Source organism: Homo sapiens, chromosome 7 (assembly GCF_000001405.40).
Source record: "Homo sapiens chromosome 7, GRCh38.p14 Primary Assembly".
Taxonomy (NCBI): domain Eukaryota; kingdom Metazoa; phylum Chordata; class Mammalia; order Primates; family Hominidae; genus Homo; species Homo sapiens.
This window is the reverse complement of record NC_000007.14, coordinates 47,963,257-47,980,035: the sequence shown is the minus strand read 5'-3', so window position 1 is coordinate 47,980,035 and position 16,779 is coordinate 47,963,257. Positions and strand designations below refer to the sequence as shown.

The following is a 16,779-nucleotide window of genomic DNA, read 5'->3' as shown; positions in this document are numbered from 1 at the left end:
TGCTTCAATACCAAAGTACCAGTACCGTCATCTGAGGCTGGAGGGTTTAAAGCTGCTCTACCTTAGGTATATTTAAGATAATATTGTTTAACCTTTATAAACGATTAATTTTATTTGGATATTTTAAAATAACACTTGAAATAGGTGTCACAAAATTCTTTCAAAACGTGAATTCTCAGAACAACCTCCCCGAATCTGGGGCTTGAAGCCTCCGCCTCACTAAAAGTAGATCCCACCATTACCCGGCAGCGCGGAGGCATACCCGGAGACTGGGACCCCCACCTCCCCCGGGGCGTGACCTGTGATCCTTGACCCGTGACCCCACCTCCTCTAGGGCGTGACCCCCTAGCCCCACCTCCTCCGGGGCGTGGCCCGGAGATAACCCTGGTAAGAGTCGCGTAGCCCGAGCCGGGCGGAACCACTGTTCGCGCTGCCGTGTTTCCGGGCGGGGACACTCAGGGCGCGACGCTTTTCTGTTACCCACAGAGGCCCGCCGCGGCTGCGCCATCCGCGGCCATGAAGTTTCGGGCCAAGATCGTGGACGGGGCCTGTCTGAACCACTTCACACGTGAGCAGGGAGGCCGGAGAGGAGCGAGGGAGGAACGGAAGGAAGCAGTGAGCGCGCGGTGGGGACCGCGCAGGAGGATCAGAACGGGGATGGGCGCCGGAAGGGGCCGCGGGAGGATGGGGCCGGGATGGGGGTGCTGGTGTAGGCCGCGGGAGGGTGGGGCCGGGAGGGCGCGGGGCGGGTCGGAGGGCACTTGTGGGGATGAAGGCGGCTTTCAAGGGACGTTTCTGAAACTTGATTCCGATCACGTGGCTTTAAAAAAAAGCGGCCACTGCTCCCATAGACGGCTTTATCAGGCATTGACATACCTTCAAGGCCCCATTCGTCCCTCCACCCTGACAGTGCCTAACCTTGCATTTAACTGTGTATTGCAGTACCTAGTAGTCAATAAATCCATGTTGAATGAATGAATGACTGGTAGGTGCCTGTTTTCTTATTTGAACACTGATGATGTGTGCTGTACATCTCCCCTAGTTTGTTGGGAGAATTGCGTGACATCAGGGGTATTAAAGTACTTTCCAGTGTGATACCAACGTTAAGTGGTTATTTTTCCACCGAGAAGTTGATGAACAAGAAATTCTGCAAAATAAGTTGGTCTCTAGGATACATAATGTGCATTTTAGTAATTCCTTATTTTAACCCCTGCTTTAGGAATCAGTAACATGATAGCCAAGCTTGCCAAAACCTGCACCCTCCGCATCAGCCCTGATAAGCTTAACTTCATCCTTTGTGACAAGCTGGCTAATGGAGGAGTGAGCATGTGGTGTGAGCTGGAACAGGTGAGCAAAAGCTTCTGAGAGGCCTGCACACTCTGCAGATTGTCACTGGAAAGATCACATATACCCTCCCTCATCCCTCATTTTTTTTCCCTTAGGAGAACTTCTTCAACGAATTTCAAATGGAGGGTGTCTCTGCAGAAAACAATGAGATTTATTTAGAGCTAACATCGGAAAACTTATCTCGAGCCTTGAAGACTGCCCAGAATGCCAGGGCTTTGAAAATCAAACTGACTAATAAACACTTTCCCTGCCTCACGGTCTCCGTGGAGCTGGTGAGTAGGAGAGTCAGGGTTTCTAACACAGAAGTCTTGGCCTCGAAGGAATAGACATAGTTAGCCTAGCCTTTTTAACAATAAATACTGTTGAAAGCTGTTTGGTTTATTTAAATTTAAAGATCTGGTCCATAACTATATTTTGCATTAGAGTCAGTTCCTCCTCATTTTAAAATTGTGTTGTTATCATATGCATTCAGCTAGAATGCTGCTTTTTCCAAGCCGTGAAACTTCCAGCCTCTCTGTTTCTTGTAGTGGTATTGTCACCTTGTCTAGAAATCATGGTTTCTCTATCCATTTTCACCTTTGACATGTTTTCTCCCCACTCCCACCCTGCCTCATCTGCTATAATAACCTTTAAATGGCCCCTCGTTCTTCAGTACACGTATGTTTTATATGCTACTGCCAGATGAATTTAGTGCACAGCTGTCCTCCAAACACACAAATACACAAACTCATGCGCATACATACAATCCAGAGTTGCTCTTCCTACTCATAGAATGAGGTTCGTATTTCCTTTTTTTTGAGACGGAGTCTCTCTATCACCCAGGCTGGAGTGCAGTGGCGCGATCTCGGCTCACTGCAACCTCCATCTCCCGGGTTCAAGCGATTCTCATGCCTCAGCCTCCTGAGTAGCTGGAATTACAGGCACCCACCACCACACCCAGCTAATTTTTGTATTTTTTTAGTAGAGTCGGGGTATCACCATATTGGCCAGGCTGGTCTCGAACTCCTGACGTCAAGTGATCCACCTACCTCGGCCTCCCAAAGTGCTGCGATTGTAGGCATGAGCCACGGCGCCCAGCCCAGCTTTTCTTCATAACTCTCAACTCTTTGCAGTCAGGCAGTTCTCAGAGCTAATTAGGGCATTTCATGTCACAGTATAAGTTTGGTATGTTTTTTCTATTGCTTAAGGAAAAGCAAGATAGTAACGTATAATACTTTTTGTCCAAAAGTGCAAGATATTTTGGTCTGTGAGTCTCATAGGAGCCCCTAGAAATAAATATAGTTTGCCTTTTAACTGTTAGAAACTGCAGCACTCTGAGTGTCCTATGCCCAAAGAATGGCCTTCTCTTGGTTGCGTCAACATAGCAGGCTTGCTTCTTTCTGCCTCACGGCTTTACATGTGCTGTTTCCCCAGCCTGAAACCCTGTCCCCTTGTTCTTGTCTTCCCATGGCTGCTGCTTCTCCTGCTTTTGGTGGTATCTGAAATGTCACCTCCTCAGTCTAAGGAAACTCCCCCACACTCACCCTGGTCTCTGTGGAGTGCTTTCTCACGGCTATAATGAGCATTTCATACAGTTTCATTTGTTTGCATTTTTATTGATCTGTTTGTTCCACTGGAACACTAAGGACCTTTTTGTCTTATCACCACACTTCCCAGTTCCTGGAAGTACCCAGAGTCTGTTCCATAAATATTGGCACCATCAATATTGGTCGAATGGCTTTTGAGTGAATAAACTGACAGCATTCCACTTAGATTTGGTATTTCAACTTTTTTGTCCCGGGTCTTCGGGTTTGTTTTGTTGTTGCTTAATATTAACAACATAAAAATATTTTTAAATTCTTTTCTTGGCAGTTATCTATGTCAAGCAGTAGCCGCATTGTGACCCATGACATCCCCATAAAGGTGATTCCTAGGAAATTGTGGAAGGACTTACAAGAACCGGTGGTCCCAGATCCTGATGTAGGTGATGCCTGCAGTCCTGCTGTACACCCCACATTAAATGGCATGACTTGAATTCTCTAGTTTTAGTTGTAGTCTTGCAGTATATTTTATTTTTAAAGGATACTTAACGAAAACATTAGATTATTTGCCTTTTGTTATTTACATAAAGCATCTTAAAAATGTTGCATATGATAGAAATGTCATGCCATCCTATATGTAGAAAATGTCTCGCTCAGTAACATCACTTAAAACACAAATGATACTTTTGGAGGACAATTAGTATTTATTAGTATTCTTGGCCTTAGACACCAATTTGGGTTTCACAGGACTTGATCTTTTCCTCAGCCGGTCAGGAGCGATATCTGGATGTGCACGAAAGCCAAGAAGAGAAGAATTTCATGGCTTAGGGCTAACATGGGGTAACGGTCATGCCGATGGTTAACCCTAGAGCTCCTGAAAGTAAAGATGATGCCAAAGGGCCCATTTCCTCTTGCTCACAATTTGTTTAAGAAGAAAGTACAGAAATATGCTGGGTAAAATAATTACTTGACTTTTACTAGATGGCACCTACACTGATTTTGAAAAAGCCTGTGTTTTATAGAGCACTCTTGGTAACAGTCTCAGATGTGATGCAGTGACTGTCTGCCATGTTTTTGTACAGAGCATGGAAAAGGCCCTTGAATCATAGGTGTAAATGTCCCTTAGAGGAGGGCCTCCTGCTGATTGCCTGAGTTATATTCCCCCTGGACCAATATAGGGGCATCTCAGCTGAAGTACCCTATTCCTTCTTGAGCCAAAAGAATGCCCACAGGGACATGGTTGCTGAGGTAACCAGAGGCAGGCATTCCATTCTTTAATTTTGCTTGAGCATCCTTGAGTTAGTGAAATAGAATTGGTTTTCTTTTTATATTTTTAAAAGAACTTTATTCAGAAAATTGTAAAATAGTATCCCATAGTTTTTGAGCATGCATGTGTTCTAGAGTTAGTTATGGGGCCCTTGTCATTACTAGAGTATATTAATATTTTTAATACTTGTGCTTTTTTCTCATTGGTTTTGTAGGTTAGTATTTATTTACCAGTCTTGAAGACTATGAAGAGTGTTGTGGAAAAAATGAAAAACATCAGCAATCACCTTGTAAGTCACAACTTCTTTAGAAAAGAACTCTGAAGTATTTGGTGGGACGGCGTGGGTTCTCCAGCTCACCCTGCAGCAGTCCATGCAGGTGGGCACCTCCTAACCGAGTTCCCACTTATGAGGACCTGGCCTGGTGCTGAGAACCTGCAGATTGCTAGTTGGATTTAGAAACCTATTCCAATACTTTTCAACTCTAATTCTTTGAGGAAAGCTTTTATATTTGCCTTTAATCTGCCTGTTTTTCCTCTTATATTTTGTATGAAACATTGTATCTTTCTTTTTTTTTTTTTTTTTTGAGACAGAGTCTCACTCTGTCGCCCAGGCTGGAGTGCAATGGCGCCATCTCACCTCACTGTAAGCTCCGCCTCCCGGGTTCATGCCATTCTCCCACCTCAGCCTCCCGAGTAGCTGGGACTACAGGCGCCTGCCACCATGCCTGGCTAATTTTTTGTTTCGTATTTTTAGTACAGACGGGGTTTCACCGTGTTAGCCAGGATGGTCTCGATCTCCTGACCTCGTGGTCCGCCCGCCTAGGCCTCCCAAAGTACTGGGATTACAGGCGTGAGCCACCGCGCCCGGCTGGAACATTGTATCTTTTACCTGCTAACGTGCCCGTATTTTTCTGTGAGTCACTGATATGACTGACAGTGAGTTTGGAGTTTCCTGTCTGCGTGCCAAGTGTCTTTCAGTGAGCCAGGGACAAAGATATGCCACACCATAGCAGCCTTTATTCCAAGCACACCTCACACCAAGCTAGGGGGCACTTTTATATTTCTGTTTATTTTCTGTTTATTTTGTGGAAGTCTCCTATGGCCACATGGCTCGAAATGTTACAGTGTGTGACAGTGGTGGGAAATGTGTAGGTTATCCTCATTCATACCTGGGGTTATTGTGAATTCTTCCTTCACTCACTGCCCCTCCCTCCTCCCCCTGCTCCCTCCTATCCTGCTCCAAAAAACACCCTTGGTTATGTCCCTGAATCTTCTAAAAACCACTGTCCACCTGATGAAGCATAAACTTTTGATCTTGACAGTGTACCAGGCCACCTTTATAGCCACATCTCTGTTGTATTGCCACACCCTCCCTGCAGAACGAGGCTGGGTTCTGGTATTCCCCCACAATGCCTCTTCTTTTTTGTTCAGTTTCTTTGCCATTTGACACATGGCTTCTTCTCTCCATCTCCCTGGAAGGCACTTAGCCATTCTCATGCTTCATCACAGACCTTTCCCCACCACCCCTCTGGAAGCTCCTCCATGGAGCTGAGCTGTCCAGTGTACATGGTAAATCACCTGCTAAGATCTCTGAAGGTCTCGTGAACCACCAGCTTCTTGATAAAGGAAACCCCATCTTAATCATCTTTGTGTCCCAGCTGCCCAGTGTGGGATTGCCACTCAGTAGGCAGCAATAAGTGTTGCATGGATCTGGAACAAAATTTAGCTTCAAGAGGTCTTTGAAATCACAAAAGTATTTTGAAGCCTAGAAAATGTACATTTGACTGTTTTTTTCTAGAGTTCTGCACACTAAGAGCAATGCTGTCATTGGACCTGGGTAACTCAAAGCTTTTCCTTCATAACTTAATCTATAAAATCTGTTTTCCATGAAGCAGTGTGCACTGTGCTGACGTTGGTGTCACCTGTGACTGCAGTGATGCTGATCCAGTTGTCAGGCTGGCTTCATCTGGGGATACCCTGGGGACTTCCAGAGAAATTCAGAGAGGCCCAGGAGAGAAAAGACAGGGCTGTTAATTGAAGGATGGCATTTGTTTGTTCTTTCTGTTCAATGAAAATGAGTCAGCAAGGTAGAGAGGTAGAAGGGTAGCTTAGAATCATCAGAGGTGTTTTGTTTTCTCTTTTTTGGAGTTTAAAAAAACATAGAAATATTGTGGAGAGGCTACTACGATCTGGAATTACTAAATGGAAAGTTATCAAGTTACTGTAGCAAAGTACATAATGAGGTCTTCCTGGGTATCCAGAATTCTGTATCTGAATATTACAGGCAGTAGAATTAAGGAAAATGGGTAGACTTAACACACTAAAAATGCCCACCTTCCCATTAGAGATGCCCAGTTACTTCCTTTCATTAAATGCGAGGTGTGACTGATGGGGTGGGTTGTATGTGACTCATGCAGGAGCAGAAAAAGAAGCAAGAACTGGAGGGAATTGACATCATGTTCTAAGACATTGCTTCTAAGTTCTACCATGCGTGTGAATCCCCTGGAATCTGGTTAAAGTGCAGGTTCTGATTTGGGAGGTCTGAGCTGGAGCCTGAGGCTCTGTTTCTGACCAGCTCCTGGGAGATGTCGATGCTGCCTGTCTTCAGACCACATCATGTAGCAGTACTTTGTGATGTGTGCCTGTATTACTCCGTTTTCACGCTGCTAAAAAGATATTACCTGAGACCAGGTAATTTATAAACAAAAGAGGTTTAATTGACTCACAGTCCTGTATAGCTGAGGAGGCCTCAGGAAACTTACAGTCATGACAGAAGGCAAAGGGGAAGCAAGGCACGTCTTAACATGGCAGCTGGAGAGAGAAGAACACAGGAAAAACTGCCATTTTTAAAACCATCAGATCTCATGAGAACTCCCTCACTATCAAGAGAACAGCATGGGAAAAGCTGCCCCCATGATCCAGTCACCTACCACCAGGCCCCTTCTCAGCACTTGGGGATTACAATTCGAGATGAGATTTGGGTGGGGTTGCTGAGCCAAAACAAACCACATCATTGCCATACTATATTGTACTTCAAATGTTATCTGAGAAACGGCTCTGCAGGGTCACCTAATGATAGAAACCAGAGTCTATGTTTAGGAGTCATGATATGGAAGAGGGGAGTCATTGGAGCCACATACCTGGGTTCAGCTCCAGGCTGCGCTGTGCAGTGAGTACCCTAGTGCTGGATACTACCCCAAATGGGGATAACAGTGCAGCTATGACAGGGGCTTCGTCAGTTTTTAAAAATTTAGAGATAATTTTTACTAGGTGCCCAGTATAGTCAGCATTCTATAAACAATAGTTGACTATTTTAAGGAAATCATTGAAAGATCTTACCCTGATACTTAAGAAATCAAGTGTGTTGTTGTGTATAATATCCCAAATAACTGAATCTTAAAATAGACATGAGTGACCAGTGTTCAGAGAATTAGTTGTTTGTTAGTTTCTTCAGTAAGTATTGACTTAAGGCCACCATGTGCTAGGCACCAGGTGTTAATGGTTAGGAGGGAGTTGGAATCTAATGTTCTGTTACTGAGATTCTTAGGAATTTGAAGAAAACACAAGAGAACATTTAAGCCTGAAGTGCATCTAGGCCCATTGCAAGTTGCATTTTTAAATAAGTATTTATTTATTTATATCTAAAACCATTGCTTTTCAAAACAATGGGAATTTACAGATCTTGGGTGTGTGGTTGTTTGGAACAAATGAGCTAAGGTCATGTGTTAGCCTTAGCCCCACTAAGCAGTCTAGCATATTCACAAAGATTGTTTTATATATTTTATTTCAGTCAACTATTGTTCCAGATTGTAGGAAAACGGGTTAGGAAATATAACAATATATTTTTTTGGATTAATGAAAGAAAAGGGTTGAAAATGAGTATTTCTCATTCAAAGTAGATTATACAACAGGTAAGTTTGGGGCACTATTTTTCTATTAATGTGAAAAGCTCAGAAATAAGAGCTCACCCAAATTAGAAAAACTTTGTTTCTGGAATGAAAACTATTCAGAGTTCACCAATTTTAAGGAATAAGAACAAGGAACACTAAATTGTATTCAGTAAACATGAACACTGATACAGAGCCGTGCAGACAGAGTGCCTTCTCTGTTTTCTTTCTGTGACACTGTGAGGATGGAATGGCCCTAAATAAGACCAGTTGCTAGGTGGCACTTTTCTAGTACTAGATGGCAAAATGCTATCCAGCAGACTACACACTGGCTTTCCAGAGACCTCCTAGGCTTTAACATTGGGCAGATATCAACATCAAAAAGAGAAATAACAGGTACTGGTTCTTTTAGGAGGAAATTTCATTGTAGGTGCGGGAGTGGACCAGGATAGGTTAGCAAAACCTCAAACCATACTGTGGCATATGCTTCACTTCTAGGTTCCATCCAATTAAAAGAACTGATTGGTTGTTGGGGTGGGTAGAGGAGCTTCAAAGGAAAGGAGTCCCTTGTGACCTGTGGAGACAGTCCCCGGGCAGCAAGAGCAGGAGTAGAAGAGGGGTGCCCGATGGTATATGAGGGGATGGCAGAAGTCTGGTAGCCTGGGCGTGTGGAGTTTGGCTCAGCCATCCTCAGTCCTGGTAACCCAACAGCAGCCCCAGACCCTTCTGGATTTGGACATTTCATTTTCCAACATGTGAGTTTATTTTCTAAATAAATGGCTATGTTCTCATGAGATTCTGAAGGCCTTATAGTCATATTAAATGTGTGTTTATGACAAATGGTTGATTTATATTTTATAAAAATAAGACACTGATTTCCACATTCTTCTCATTTTCCCCCTTCCTGTTTTGTAATGGTTATATTATGTCTACATCATCAGAGCATAAAATTTTATTACTACACGTTATTCTGTCCTCTTCATTCCTGTTGTTTAGTTTTGGTTCTAAAGGTCAAAATAAGGCTCACACTGTTTATGCTGTAACTTCTCCAATGATTTTTTTGGTTATTAAAAGCCTATTCTCTAGCATATCACTCAAGAAGGACTCACAGGAATAGGATTTCATTGGTTATCATGTGTTTATAATGTCAGTTTGGCTCACTGCACTGCATTGTCTGCTGGTGTATATTATTGCTATCAAAAAGAATGACTCCATTCTGATTTTGTTTCACAGCTTGGATTTATTCATTTGAAAGTGGGGACTAAATACCCTGGGGATTTTTCCCATTTTTCTTTCAATCCAATTGTCTTGACCATCCGGGGTCAGTTTTCCCAGGTGTGTGGTGTGTCCTTTCAATATGTGGGCCGAACTCTTCATTCACTTCAGGAAAGTTTTGAGCTGTAGTTGATAGCATTTCTTTTCCAGTGCTTTGTTTTTCTTCTGGGACTCAGAGGGCTTGGATCTTCTCCACTGTCTTTATTATTTTCTGTCAGATCCTTTTAACTCTTTGTTTCTGTTTGGTAAATTTTATCTTTCTCCTTTCCATCCCAGTTTCTCTTACTATTCTCTCTGTGGTGCCTATTTGCTCTAGTCTTCCTTCTAAACTAGTTTCTGTTTCTGAAATTTTTCCTTATGTTTCTAATTACTTCCTGTGCTGTCAGCTGTGTTTTATGTGCGTGCTCTCTGGTCATCTCATGTCTGAGCTTCCCTAATTCTGATTTATGTTGTTGTGTCATAGCGTCTATTATTGTTCATTTCTCTTTTTTTTTTTTTTTTTTTTTTGAGACAGAGTCTCGCTCTTTCACCCAGGCTGGAGTGCAGTGGCGCAATCTCGGCTCACTGCAAGTTCCGCCTCCCGGGTTCATGCCATTCTCCTGCCTCAGCCTCCCGAGTAGCTGGGACTACAGGCGCCCGCCACCACGCCCGGCTAATTTTTTGTATTTTTAGTAGAGACGGGGTTTCACCGTGTTAGCCAGGATGGTCTTGATCTCCTGACCTCGTGATCCGCCCGCCTCGGCCTCCCAAAGTGCTGGGATTACAAGCGAGAGCCACCGCGCCCGGCTGGTTTTTCTGGTTCTTTTAGGAGGAAGTTTCATTGTAGGAGTGAAAGTGGACCAAAATAGTTTTCTAATTTAATGACTCTAGAATTCTCTATTCTTTGTAACCACAAAATATTAAAACATGCATCCTCACCACATCCCCAGGACTTTCTGAGATCTGTCCCTCTTTTTCCTTCATTTAAAGTTTCATTCCCTTTTTTTTGCCCAAGGTGCCCATTCTGCTTAGTTGAGGCTCTTACTTCCCGTGGTTCCTTCTCAGTGCAGGACTCTCTCCTGCTGTGAGGGAGTTCTCATCAGCTCCACCCAGCCCTCCCTAGAGCCCTGCCCTTGTGCTGCTGTAGTCTCCTGGCAAGTCCTCTCGGAGTTCCACCTGTTTTCACATCTTCACTGAGTTCTTCATTCCGGGAGGCAGGCAGGGGGACTTCCCCTTTGAGATTTTTGGGAGATTTCTGAGTTCTTGGCTCTTGGGCCTTATCTTCTCACTTTCCCTGATAGCACGGGGGTCTCAGTGTGCTCTGAGGTGTTTTGAGGTTTTGTAGGGTACTTTGTCATCTGGTTGTGTGAAAGCTGTTGCCCATGGAGTTTTTTTCCTTTTGGCTTCCTTTTCTAAGACTATGTAAAATACTCAATTTGCAGGTTATTGAAGCAAACCTAGATGGAGAATTGAATTTGAAAATAGAAACTGAATTAGTATGTGTTACAACTCATTTTAAAGATCTTGGAAATCCTCCATTAGGTAAGTTTTCTAGTGGGTTATATTTTGCTTTGGATAAGTTAATTGTTTCAGATAACCTACCTGTTGAGGTCTCTTCATGTAAAAAGGTTGAAATTCAGTTGACTTTGTTTCATGCTTGGGTGAAGAACAAAGGAATTGAGACTGGACTATGTATCCCTGTGGTGTAGTGGGGCAGTTAGCCACCAGGGGGAGAAGCTGTGCCACCAAGTAGCTGACAGATCTGTGCAGGGTCTCCATCCTCTGTAGAATTCGGATCAAGTTACATAACCTCCAAGATCCCTTCCAGCTATTCAATTCCTGTCCTACTCCTAAAGATTTCTATTTCTCACCTGGCATGGATTCAGAAAGGTAGATACATTTGTTCTTATATTCTCCTCCTTCAGTTACTTCCATATGTATGAAATTAGTGTAGCAGATGCAAAACTGTTTCACTTGATCACATTTCTTATCTCATACAAGGTAATAAGGGACGATAGAGTCAGTTCAGCAAGTGGGGAGAGAGGGGACGGTTGGACAGTTTGGTGAGTTATAAGCCAAGAGGGGGTTAGAATCATGGCTGGAAAGTGGCAGCTGCACAGTAGCAGGGGCTGCCTGAGCAGGAAAGCAGGTAAAGGACCAGGGGAGAAACACCTGGGGATGATGAGAAAATCATTTTATGATACATAAGTGTGCCAGAACCAATAAAATCGGCCCTAGTCACATTTAAGTTACTACGAGTCTGCTTGAATATAAACACAGATTTTAGCATAGAGTTGGAAGGAATTTTTACTTTCTAGTTAAGAGCATCCTGCTCCAGCAGAGTGAAATCCATACGGTTATGCCTTTGATAATATTGTGTAAAGCGATTCATTCTGATGTCACTCATTTTGTTTCTTTTAATAAACATAAGGTGGGACTTATCTTTGGTACTTTCTCAGAGGTAGAAAGGATGTTTTCTTTTTTTTTTTAATTCCACTCCAGAATGACAGGCCTTGTATTAGTTAATGTATATATTTTCACTCTTAAAATACATAGTAAGTACAAATAAATAAAATTTTCTTTGACCTGAAGAGGGAGATTGAGTTATATTTCAAGTCCCCTGTAAATAAAGATGCCTTGGAAATTATCATAGTATTTTAAATAGTTAGGACCTAATGCTTAATGAATGACAACATTTACAAGTTGCAATATTTCTTCAGGATGCTAAAATCAGTGCTAAAGTGAATCATTTATTTAAGTAAAATGCATTGAGTATCTCCAGGTTTCCTGTTACGTGGGAAGATGTTGTATTTAAATGCATTCCTATCATTTTAGCCTCTGAAAGCACCCATGAGGACAGAAACGTGGAACACATGGCTGAAGTGCACATAGATATTAGGAAGCTCCTACAGTTTCTTGCTGGACAACAAGTAAATCCCACAAAGGCCTTATGCAGTGAGTGTGCTTCTCTGTTTTGTTTTTCATATTCTTTCATATTCTAAATACTGCAGTCAACTCTAGTCTAACAGATTGCATATAGTCTCATAAATCCAAAAAAAAAAAAAAAAGCTCAATTATGTGGACTTTAACTTCCTAGAACAGTGGGGTTTTTTAAATTTTCCTAGATTCAGAAGTACCTAAGGTGGCAGCAGAGAAACAACCCCTGGGCACTCTGTTAGGGCCTGAAACCTGCAGCCACACTGGTTGGTAGGTGGGTTGTGTGCTGCCTCAGTTGGCCAGCACACCTGGAGATGCCATCGGGAGAATGGGTGCAGATCATCCCACCTTCTCCATGGTCATCTAATTTGACCTGCTCAGAGTGCCAGACACGGTTTGGCTTGGATTTAAGTTTTCCCTTGTGATGTCTTGTTTCCTTTCTGTGGCTATGCTGGCCTGCATTCGCTGCCCCATATCTGTCCCTTGGCTGCTGGTTGTTAACAGTTGCCTCTTGATTCTGGCTGGGCCCCATCTTGTGAGGTCACACACCTGCTCCAGCACTCTTCATCTACTGACCACACATGAGAAAGGCATTACCTGCCAAGAGCTTTTCAAGGCATTTTTGTCACCTTACTACTGAAATCACAGCAACCTAAAAGCGACTGCATCCTGGATTTGAAGTTCCACGTTTTGTAGCATAGCTCCCAGGCTGAGCTGAGAGGGAGGTTGAGCCAACACTGCACCTCATCCCCTTCAGATCTGCAGTGTGCTGTAGAGAAGGAACAGAAGATTCTAGGTGGCAATGTCAAGGACCAGCCCTTTTGAATGAGAGACATGAAGAGAATCAGAAGAGACCATGGGAGGGGCAATGGGTGTTTGGGAATTGGGGAAGGTGTCACACAGTTGGAGTGATGGGCACAGAAGGAGATATCGCCAGAGAAGCAGCTCTGAGGGTAGAGATGGAGAAGCTAGACTAGGCCAGATCATGGGGAGTTTTGGGGTGAGGTACCTGTGCTGCATTTTAAGGAACTTTGACATGGACGATGTCATATTTCTAGGGCTGAGCATAGTGGGAGCTGTGTGGCAGTGCAGGGTCCTTAAAGGTGCTTCTGAGAACCTCGATGTGCATGGAGATCGCCTGAAGGTCATGTAAAGGGACTCCTTATTCATAGTTTGGGCTGGGCCTCATGGCTGCACTTCTCCCAAGCTCCTGTACAATGCCCAGACCCTTGGTCCTGACAAGCACAGTGTGAATGGTGAGAGAGTGAAATACCCCTCCTGTCTGCAGAGTGTGGAAACACAGGGTGTGGGGGGCCCCTGCGCTGCACAACATCAGTCTTTGAACTTGGTATTTTGGGGACTTTCTGAATCCAAGGCTGTTGAGGAACATGGAAGAGTTCTTATCAAAGGTGGTTGACTAAGCCAAGTGTCTTCCCAACATTCACTTTGGTGTCTCCACGTGTAGCAGAGAAAGGAAGACCAGCAAATTGTGATGTAGCAAAAATTTTTTTTAAAACACCGTGGGTTGAACTTCTCATACCTTCTTAACTTCCCAAAGCCCCTTTTCTGTCTCTGTTAGTCTCCTTCAGGTGTCGGCTCAATTGTCCCCTCCTCTAGCTAGGTCCTGCCACCCTCAGTCTCTGCCTCTCCTGTGCCCTTGCACCACCTCTCCTAAAGAATGTTTGTCTCCTGCTTGTCCTTTCTGGTCCTTTCCCCAACCTCCCATCTCCTGGGATTGGCCTCTCTGCAGCCTGCTCACACATGGTTTCTTGTCACTCACTCATATCTGCTGGAGAGCTTTCCTCGGCTGCTGTGCTGCAGCTCCCCGAGCTCTCGGTGGTTGTCACACTGTGTGCTCCTGCCCACCCTCATGTGCTCTTTACTTCCCTGCTTGGTTGCATGCCTGATGCCTTGGATTTTAGCCATCACCCATGGCCCTCACGGGATTGGCAGGACCGTTGAGATGCAGGGATCCATCCCATGTAGCAGTGTGTGACACAGCCTGCCCCAGGTGTTGGGGGATCCTGGCTCTTGGCTCTTCTCAGCACAGTTCCTCCACTCACTGGTGAGGAGCTGCTCTTCGCTGCAGAAGGATGCTCATGTGGGTGAATGTGGTTTGCCAGGAAGCCAGCCTGCTGGGTGTTTTGCCAAGGGCTTGGGCCGCTTCACTTTTCCTCTCCTCGCACAGGGAGCCGCCAGTGCTGGGGCCGTGATGTAGCCTCAGCTGTGGCAGTGAGAGTGAGAGACTGTGGTCTCTGCAGCTGCCTCAGGGAAGACAGATGCCTAAAACAGGAGGTGCAGGCTGGGAAGGCTGTTCTGAAAAAGTAGAGATCAAAATGTGTGTGCTGCACTAGGTCTCTAAAATCATGGCTTTTCTCTTCCCAGATATTGTGAATAACAAGATGGTGCATTTTGATCTGCTTCATGAAGACGTGTCCCTTCAGTATTTCATCCCTGCGCTGTCCTAGCACCCTGTCGCTGGAGTTGGCATGCAGAGACTTTGTCAGGATGGGAGAGGCCGCAGGTGTTGTGTTCTGATCACTGGTCTGTGCCCTCACAGCACCGCACATCGACACACTGTACTTATTTGTCCCTCTCTAACATTTTAACTAAAAGTTGATTCAACAACACACAGTTGGATAAACATATCACTTCATGTTGCTCATGTCTGTTTTGCTTTGTTTTTAAGACACTGAAAAGAAAAGCTAGAATTTATTTATTCAGACTTTAAAGAACAATTTCTCATTGATGTTGTGAAAATCGTCATGTATTTAGACTTGGTGTAGTAGCCAGAATTCGTAAAGCTGTTGCCTGGGAGCTTGGTACTTTCCCTCCAGGCAGAGGCTCTAGCTCAGCACGGCCTGTAGCGCACAGTCAGTCTTGCATTTCAGTGTGTTCACCCCGCTGCTCCTGCCCCTTGGAGCCCAGTGACAGAAAGAACAGCCTCTGTCACCCCGCCGCCACTGCCTTGGTTACTCAGAGCACTGTGGGGTGTCACAGCTGCAGCATTTGGAGTCTCTCTCTTGCTGAGGACTCAAGCCCACCTGAGTCCACTCCCCTCTTGATGCCTAGAGAGCTGGCCCAGCCAACACAGCTCTTAGCTGGGAGCTCCTTCTGCCATTCCAACTAGTTTCTTCCTGGGGCCAGTTTTGGGTTTAGGTTGTAATTCCTTATATTTCTTTCTTCCACAGTGTATCGGATCTGTCGTTCTGGAAAGAAGACCCTTCTATTTAGAGTAGAAACAAACGAAACTTCTAAGGTATCATCTGTGTTAAGTGATGAGACCATATTTCTTTGATGTTTCTGAACATCAAAGCTGATTCAGTACTGGTAGATGTGCTCATTCTCCCTGAAACATACCCATCATATTTCCTATTATAATTACATCTCATTGTCCTGTGGAGGTGGACATGATAAACATTATCTTTTGTTTTCTTGTTTTGTTTTGTTTGAGACGGTCTCATTCTGTCACCCAGACTGGAGTGCAGTGCCACAATCATGGCTCACCGCATTGACCTCCTTGGCTCAAGGCATCCTCCCACCTCAGCTTCCTGACTAGCTGGGACTACTGGTGTGCACCACCACACCCAGCTAATTTTCAATTTTTCATAGAGACAGGGTCTCACTGTGTTGTCCAGGCTGGTCTTGAACTCCTGGGCTCAAGCCACCCGCCCACCTGGGCCTCCCAAAGTGCTGGGATTACAGGCATCAGCCATCACACCCATCCATAAACATTATATTAATGTCACATTACAAAACTGAGACCTAAGTTGCTTAGGATAAAATGAAATTGGAAGACTAGCTAACATGAAAATTTATATTTTGGCTTTTTCATGTTTTTTGATAAAACCAGTGTATTTGAATGATTCTTTTGATGTTTAGTAATGGTTTTTTGTTTGTTTTTTGGTTTTTTTTTTTGAGACGGAGTCTCACTCTGTCGCCAGTCTGGAGTGCTAGTGGCGCGATCTTGGCTTACTGCAGCCTCCACTTCCCAAGTTCAAGCGATTCTCCTGCCTCAGCCTCCCGAGTAGCTGGGACTACAGGCGCATGCCACCACGCCCGGCTAATTTTTGTATTTTTAGTAGAGACGGAGTTTCACTGTGTTGGCCAGGATGGTCTCGATCTCGACCTCGTGATCACCCACCTTGGCCTCTCAAAGTGCTGGGATTACAGGCGTGAGCCACCACGCCTGGCCTATGTTTAATAATGTTGAAATAGGATGGAATATTTTGTTAAATTAACATTTTAAAATTAGAAGACACCGTTTTAATTTTTAAACCCTTCCTCCTCTCATTGTAACGAAATTAATTCCAGCTGCAGTGAGAAAACTTAAAAATCATGATACAAAATGAAACAATATCTGAAAGTAGTTTTATAAAACTGAAATTGCTGTTAAAGAGAATGTGTTAGTGACTTAACCATTTGCTCTATGTGATGTTTATTATCAAATACATATAATTTTGAAGATTTTAATGAATGGCTTAAGATTTTATCTTTGTGTAGAATGTGGCTAAAGAAACCTTAGTTGAGATTCAAGAAGTTGGTGTCTGTTTCTGATTCTTATCAC

General features: G+C 44.0%; 1 protein-coding gene across 3 annotated transcripts, besides 4 other annotated features; it reads left to right on the top strand.

Moving 5' to 3' along the window:
- Positions 351-640: an enhancer, noted in NCBI's record as "active region_25985". NCBI's record gives its function as "activates an Ori minimal core promoter by ATAC-STARR-seq in GM12878 lymphoblastoid cells {active_cell/tissue: GM12878}" and the evidence as "EXISTENCE:reporter gene assay evidence [ECO:0000049][PMID:35858748]".
- Positions 421-16,748, top strand: HUS1 (HUS1 checkpoint clamp component). 3 transcript variants are annotated; one of them, NR_037917.2, is made up of 9 exons: positions 421-626; positions 1,220-1,347; positions 1,443-1,619; positions 3,199-3,306; positions 4,349-4,423; positions 10,718-10,817; positions 12,111-12,230; positions 14,598-14,736; positions 15,404-16,748. NR_037917.2 is itself a non-coding variant. In NM_004507.4 (8 exons), exons 1-8 carry the CDS (start codon positions 517-519, stop codon positions 14,678-14,680), a joined length of 843 nt encoding a protein of 280 aa, NP_004498.1. In that variant the 5' UTR covers positions 421-516; the 3' UTR covers positions 14,681-16,748. The 3 variants fall into 3 exon arrangements, 2 of the variants coding, with proteins under 2 accessions (NP_004498.1, NP_001350612.1); NM_004507.4 differs by having other exon boundaries at positions 421-568; positions 14,598-16,748; NM_001363683.2 differs by having other exon boundaries at positions 14,598-16,748.
- Positions 711-770: a silencer, noted in NCBI's record as "silent region_18170". NCBI's record gives its function as "represses an Ori minimal core promoter by ATAC-STARR-seq in GM12878 lymphoblastoid cells {active_cell/tissue: GM12878}" and the evidence as "EXISTENCE:reporter gene assay evidence [ECO:0000049][PMID:35858748]".
- Positions 851-900: a silencer, noted in NCBI's record as "silent region_18169". NCBI's record gives its function as "represses an Ori minimal core promoter by ATAC-STARR-seq in GM12878 lymphoblastoid cells {active_cell/tissue: GM12878}" and the evidence as "EXISTENCE:reporter gene assay evidence [ECO:0000049][PMID:35858748]".
- Positions 10,850-11,144: a silencer, noted in NCBI's record as "tiled region #5513; HepG2 Repressive non-DNase unmatched - State 12:CtcfO". NCBI's record gives its function as "represses a minimal TATA promoter and a strong SV40 promoter by Sharpr-MPRA in HepG2 cells {active_cell/tissue: HepG2}" and the evidence as "EXISTENCE:reporter gene assay evidence [ECO:0000049][PMID:27701403]".

Bases quoted from the DNA above. Each gene is read 5' to 3' on its own strand.
- HUS1 (NM_004507.4), top strand. From the start codon at position 517: ATGAAGTTTCGGGCCAAGATCGTGGACGGGGCCTGTCTGAACCACTTC. The intron at 569-1,219 runs GTGAGCAGGGAG...CCCCTGCTTTAG, and splicing joins CTGTCTGAACCACTTCACAC to GAATCAGTAACATGATAGCC. The intron at 1,620-3,198 runs GTGAGTAGGAGA...TTTTCTTGGCAG, and splicing joins TCACGGTCTCCGTGGAGCTG to TTATCTATGTCAAGCAGTAG.